Source organism: Homo sapiens, chromosome 7 (assembly GCF_000001405.40).
Source record: "Homo sapiens chromosome 7, GRCh38.p14 Primary Assembly".
In the NCBI taxonomy this organism is placed as follows: Eukaryota; Metazoa; Chordata; class Mammalia; order Primates; family Hominidae; genus Homo; species Homo sapiens.
In genome coordinates, this window is record NC_000007.14 from 30633347 (window position 1) to 30640015 (window position 6669).

General features: G+C 39.5%; 1 protein-coding gene across 2 annotated transcripts in view; it reads left to right on the plus strand.

The window, feature by feature from the left end:
• GARS1 (glycyl-tRNA synthetase 1) overlaps positions 1–687 on the plus strand; it is a 39299-nt gene extending 38612 nt beyond the window's left edge. For both annotated transcript variants that reach the window (NM_001316772.1, NM_002047.4), the window contains exon 17: positions 389–687. In NM_001316772.1, the coding sequence (NP_001303701.1) occupies positions 389–514 (126 nt within the window). In that variant the 3' untranslated portion in view covers positions 515–687. The remainder of the gene's footprint in view (positions 1–388) is intronic.

Sequence of the window (6669 nt, forward strand, 5' to 3'; positions counted from 1 at the left end):
TCAAGTTTGAGAACCATTGCTGTGTGGCAGCCAGTGTTTGGTTTTGGCTGAGGAACAGTAGCCTTGGTCAGAGCTCTCCAGTTTGCCAGTCTTATGTAATTCCCTCACACGAGTTACTTGACTGAGTCCTGTTTGTTCTAATAGTTAAATTTAATACACATGAAGTAACTTCAAGGGACATGGAGATTTAGAAAAGTTAGGAAAGGCTTTGTGGCAGAATTGAGTTGTCTGGGGGAACTGGTGGGCGTTTTGGGCTAGAAGAGCATGAACCCATGCCTGGCATGACATTGTTTGGCTCTGTGTAAGGTTTCCTGAGTTCAGGATGAATCTTCTTCTTAAAAATCTGAACAAGTTGGTTGATACTTGGCTTCTCTTTCCTTGTCTCTAGATCTCTGAGCTGCCCAGCATAGTCCAAGACCTAGCCAATGGCAACATCACATGGGCTGATGTGGAGGCCAGGTATCCTCTGTTTGAAGGGCAAGAGACTGGTAAAAAAGAGACAATCGAGGAATGAGGACAATTTTGACAACTTTTGACCACTTGCGCTAATAAAAAAAAAAAAAAACTACTCTTATGTCCACTTTACAAAAGAAAACAGCATTGTGATTACTCCCAGGGACCGTATTTTATCTTCAGTGGCTGCCTGATTTTACCCCCACAATTAAAGTTGAAGGAATCCTGAACAAACTTGTGATCTATTTGCTTGTGTTTTTACATTTTCAGCAAGGCTGTTTCTCCCACGTTTGGGTAGACATGCTCATGGCTTAATGTTAAACACAGTTAACACTTTTTAAAAAATTAACAGCTTTATTGGGGTATAATTTACATACCATAAAAATAGCCTGTCTTAAGTGTACAGTTCAATGATGTTTAGTATATTTACAGAGTTGTGCAACCACCACCACAAACCAATTTTAGAACATTTTCATCACTCCAAAATAAGTCTCATGCTCATTTACCTCACTCCCATTCTAACCTCAGCCCAGGCAACCACTCCTCTACTTTCTGTCTATTGATTTACCTTTTCTATTCTTTATCTTATTCTGAGAAAATGACGCAGTGTGCAGGTACTGTGACAGCAGTCTCCAAGCAGGTGAAATGACTTCTGGAAAAGCCTGAGGTGAGGATGGGGTGGCAGGAGTGGTGCTTTAGGGCTGCTAACCCCACTGTTTGCAGATTCTCCAGGAGGGGAGGGCCTTGCCATATTTGCCTTCTATCTTAAGGCATGCTTGCACTCAGCTCCACTGGTAGCCTGGAAATCATTAAGCTCTTGATGCTAGGGGAACCCATCTCTCTCGTCTGATTTAGCAATTCCTGACCATCGCAGTGTCTTGATTCTAGCCTAGCAGTTTTTGGCTCAGGTTTTAAGGTACTTTACTTCTTTTATGTTTTTGTATAGAAAACTCAGAACGCTGTGCTTATTTGTAAGGGAAAAATTCCAGGTTGTGTGAATTTGAGCAGCTGTTTATTTGCAGAGCTATGACCTTATCTAGTGTGCCCACTTCCTCCCCTGCAGTATTGGATAGAGGAGTGGTGATCTCCAGTGTGCCCTTTTGTTTCTAGTATGAAGAACAATTGAAGTTGTGATTTCTTAGATGTAAAGTAGGAATCTCCCAGGGATTTCCCTCATTTGTATCTCATCTCCAGTGGTGCCTACCGCAGTGCTGTACATAGTAGGTCTTCCATAAATAGTCTTTGGATGAGTCTCGAATTTTTGAACAGACTTCTTTTTTGAACAAACCTCTTTGGGAGGAAAGCCTTATACTGAAGCATATTTCTCTTCCGTCTCTGCTTTTATGAGCATTCATTATTAAATTAGAAGGAGCCAGATTTTAAATAAACTGAGTTTTCATTTTCTAGGGATTTCTCTCACTTCGAATTCCATATAATATAGCTTTTAACTGGGCATATGTTCTAGCAGCTTTACATTGGCAGGGGGCTGCCCTAACTGCATTTATTTGCTGCTTTTACAGCAGGTACCTCCATAGTCAAACAGTCACCACAGCCTCAGACATTGGTTTAAGCTCATTAATAGGGAAAGATACATTAAATACATAGTGAGAGTTACCTATCATCAGGTTGGTGCCAAAGTAGTTGCGGTTTTTGCCATTAAAAGTAATGACAGGCTGGGCGCGGTGGCTCATGCCTGTAATCCCAGCACTTTGGGAGGCCAAGGCGGGCGGATCATTTGAGGTCAGGAGTTCGAGACCAGCCTGGCCAACACAGTGAAACCCCGTCTACTAAAAATACAAAAATCGGCCGGGTGTGGTGGCACGTTCCTGTACTCCCAGCTACATGGGAGGCTGAGGCAGGAGAATCACTTGAACCCGGGAGGCGGAGGTTTCAGTTAGCTGAGATTGTGCCACTGCACTCCAGTCTGGGCACAGAGCGAGACTCCATCTCAAAAAAATAAATAAATAAAGTAATGACAAAAACCATAATTACTTTTGCACCAGCCTAATACTTTGGATCAGAAAGGGATTGGAACCAAGCCTCACTTCCCTTTTCATTGGCAAATACATTTGTCATGAGGTAGAGGCTGGATATTGAATCTGCAAGCCCTCTTTTGTTCCTTCCCCTGGGTAGCAATGCGTGATTTCTCCTGGATCACCTGCTCTAAAGCAGGTCTCTAAAGTGATACCTGAGTGAGGGAGACGGGCCGGCAGCAGAGCTCTCTGGTTCTGTCTGTACCATGTTTGCTTGATTTTAAGAACAAGCAGTTGAAGTGCTGTTTTCTAAATGAAGAGACTCTTTACCCACGAGTTTGCGTATGCATACGCACACACCTCTTCTGTTCAAGCCCAATGTGTATTTAAAGCATGGGTCTTTCTGGCTTAATGCTCTTTGAGGCCTTTTAAATTATTTATATACCTGTACGTACCGGACTGTGGGCTTAACAAGAGTGAGATAAATAGCATTGTATCTTGGAGAAGTTACTCCTGTTTATTACTTCTCCCAAAAATGATGGGGGAAGGTCAGATTCTTTTTTTTTTTTTTCTTGTGCTTAGTGCCAAATTTTATTTTTCTTTGGAAGACTGACATTAAACGTGAGAAAAACAAAGGATAACAAAAATTATCTTTATTTTCAAAATAACTTTACTAAACTATACTGATTACAAATAATACAGTCTAATGAAAACAAAGCCACTTAAAAAAGTTTAAAGAAGACATGTATGTGTAATTTTCTCATATAATTAACACTTTAAATTATTTTACAGAGTGTCATTTTAGAAATGGGTTGATACTATTTTGAATTATAGAATTAAAGTATGATCAGCATCTAATACAAAAACATACAATTAGATATTTTCTATTTTTCTGCTTTTAACTATTATTTAAGAATTTAATCTTTTTAGATTAGCCATCAGGGAAAATATATAGAATCACGGTATTCATTTATTATGTATATGAGGAAATTAACACCTTTATAATAACTCTCATGCTTTTTTCCTGAAAATTTTCTTTTTTTTTTTTAATTATACTTTAAGTTTTAGGGTACATGTGCACATTGTGCAGGTTAGTTACATACGTATACGTGTGCCATGCTGGTGCACTGCACCCACTAACTCGTCATCTAGCATTAGGTATATCTCCCAATGCTATACCTCCCCCCTCCCCCCACCCCACAACAGTCTCCAGTGTGATATTCCCCTTCCTGTGTCCATCTGTTCTCATTGTTCAATTCCCACCTATGAGTGAGAATATGCGGTGTTTGGTTTTTTGTTCTTGCAATAGTTTACTGAGAATGATGTTTTCCAATTTCATCCATGTCCCTACAAAGGACATGAACTCATCATTTTTTATGGCTGCATAGTATTCCATGGTGTATATGTGCCACATTTTCTTAATCCAGTCTATCATTGTTGGACATTTGGGTTGGTTCCAAGTCTTTGCTATTGTGAATAATGCCGCAATAAACATACATGTGCATGTGTCTTTATAGCAGCATGATTTATAGTCCTTTGGGTATATACCCAGTAATGGGATGGCTGGGTCAAATGGTATTTCCAGTTCTAGATCCCTGAGGAATCGCCACACTGACTTCCACAATGGTTGAACTAGTTTACAGTCCCACCAACAGTGTAAAAGTGTTCCTATTTCTCCACATCCTCTCCAGCACCTGTTGTTTCCTGACTTTTTCATGATTGCCATTCTAACTGGTGTGAGATGGTATCTCATTGTGGTTTTGATTTGCATTTCTCTGATGGCCAGTGATGATGAGCATTTTTTCATGTGTTTTTTGGCTGCATAAATGTCTTCTTTTGAGAAGTGTCTGTTCATGTCCTTCGCCCACTTTTTGATGGGGTTGTTTGTTTTTTTCTTGTAAATTTGTTTGAGTTCATTGTAGATTCTGGATATTAGCCCTTTGTCAGATGAGTAGGTTGCGAAAATTTTCTCCCATGTTGTAGGTTGCCTGTTCACTCTGATGGTAGTTTCTTTTGCTATGCAGAAGCTCTTTAATTTAATTAGATCCCATTTGTCAATTTTGTCTTTTGTTGCCATTGCTTTTGGTGTTTTAGACATGAAGTCCTTGCCCATGCCTATGTCCTGAATGGTAATGCCTAGGTTTTCTTCTAGGGTTTTTATGGTTTTAGGTCTAACGTTTAAGTCTTTAATCCATCTTGAATTGATTTTTGTATAAGGTGTAAGGAAGGGATCCAGTTTCAGCTTTCTACATATGGCTAGCCAGTTTTCCCAGCACCATTTATTAAATAGGGAATCCTTTCCCCATTGCTTGTTTTTCTCAGGTTTGTCAAAGATCAGATAGTTGTAGATATGCGGCGTTATTTCTGAGGGCTCTGTTCTGTTCCATTGATCTATATCTCTGTTTTGGTACCAGTACCATGCTGTTTTGGTTACTGTAGCCTTGTAGTATAGTTTGAAGTCAGGTAGCGTGATGCCTCCAGCTTTGTTCTTTTGGCTTAGGATTGCCTTGGCGATGCGGGCTCTTTTTTGGTTCCATATGAACTTTAAAGTAGTTTTTTCCAATTCTGTGAAGAAAGTCATTGGTAGCTTGATGGGGATGGCATTGAATCTGTAAATTACCTTGGGCAGTATGGCCATTTTCACGATATTGATTCTTCCTACCCATGAGCATGGAATGTTCTTCCATTTGTTTGTATCCTCTTTTATTTCCTTGAGCAGTGGTTTGTAGTTCTCCTTGAAGAGGTCCTTCACATCCCTTGTAAGTTGGATTCCTAGGTATTTTATTCTCTTTGAAGCAATTGTGAATGGGAGTTCACTCATGATTTGGCTCTCTGTTTGTCTGTTGTTTGGTGTATAAGAATGCTTGTGATTTTTATACATTGATTTTGTATCCTGAGACTTTGCTGAAGTTGCTTATCAGCTTAAGGAGATTTTGGGCTGAGACAACGGGGTTTTCTAGATATACAATCATGTCGTCTGCAAACAGGGACAATTTGACTTCCTCTTTTCCTAATTGAATACCCTGTATTTCCTTCTCCTGCCTAATTGCCCTGGCCAGAACTTCCAACACTATGTTGAATAGGAGTGGTGAGAGAGGGCATCCCTGTCTTGTGCCAGTTTTCAAAGGGAATGCTTCCAGTTTTTGCCCATTCAGTATGATATTGGCTGTGGGTTTGTCATAGATAGCTCTTATTATTTTGAAATACGTCCTATCAATACCTAATTTATTGAGAGTTTTTAGCATGAAGGGTTGTTGAATTTTGTCAAAGGCTTTTTCTGCATCTATTGAGATAATCATGTGGTTTTTGTCTTTGGCTCTGTTTATATGCTGGATTACATTTATTGATTTGCGTATATTGAACCAGCCTTGCATCCCAGGGATGAAGCCCACTTGATCATGGTGGATAAGCTTTTTGATGTGCTGCTGGATTCGGTCTGCCAGTATTTTATTGAGGATTTTTGCATCAATGTTCATCAAGGATATTGGTCTAAAATCCTCTTTTTTTGTTGTGTCTCTGCCTGGCTTTGGTATCAGAATGATGTTGGCCTCATAAAATGAGTTAGGGACGATTCCCTCTTTTTCTATTGATTGGAATAGTTTCAGAAGGAATGGTACCAGTTCCTCCTTGTACCTCTGGTAGAATTCAGCTGTGAATCCATCTGGTCCTGGACTCTTTTTGGTTGGTAAGCTATTGATTATTGCCACAATTTCAGATCCTGTTATTGGTCTATTCAGAGATTCAACTTCTTCCTGGTTTAGTCGTGGGAGAGTGTATGTGTCGAGGAATTTATCCATTTCTTCTAGATTTTCTAGTTTATTTGCGTAGAGGTGTTTGTACTATTCTCTGATCGTAGTTTGTATTTCTGTGGGATCGGTGGTGATATCCCCTTTATCATTTTTTATTGCGTCTATTAGATTCTTCTCTTTTTTTCTTTATTAGTCTTGCTAGCGGTCTATCAGTTTTGTTGATCCTTTCAAAAAACCAGCTCCTGGATTCATTAATTTTTTGAAGGGTTTTTTGTGTCTCTATTTCCTTCAGTTCTGCTCTGATCTTAGTTATTTCTTGCCTTCTGCTAGCTTTTGAATGTGTTTGCTCTTGCTTTTCTAGTTCTTTTAATTGTGATGTTAGGGTGTCAATTTTGGATCTTTCCTGCTTTCTCTTGTGGACATTTAGTGCTATAAATTTCCCTCTACACACTGCTTTGAATGCGTCCCAGAGATTCTGGTATGTTGTGTCTTTG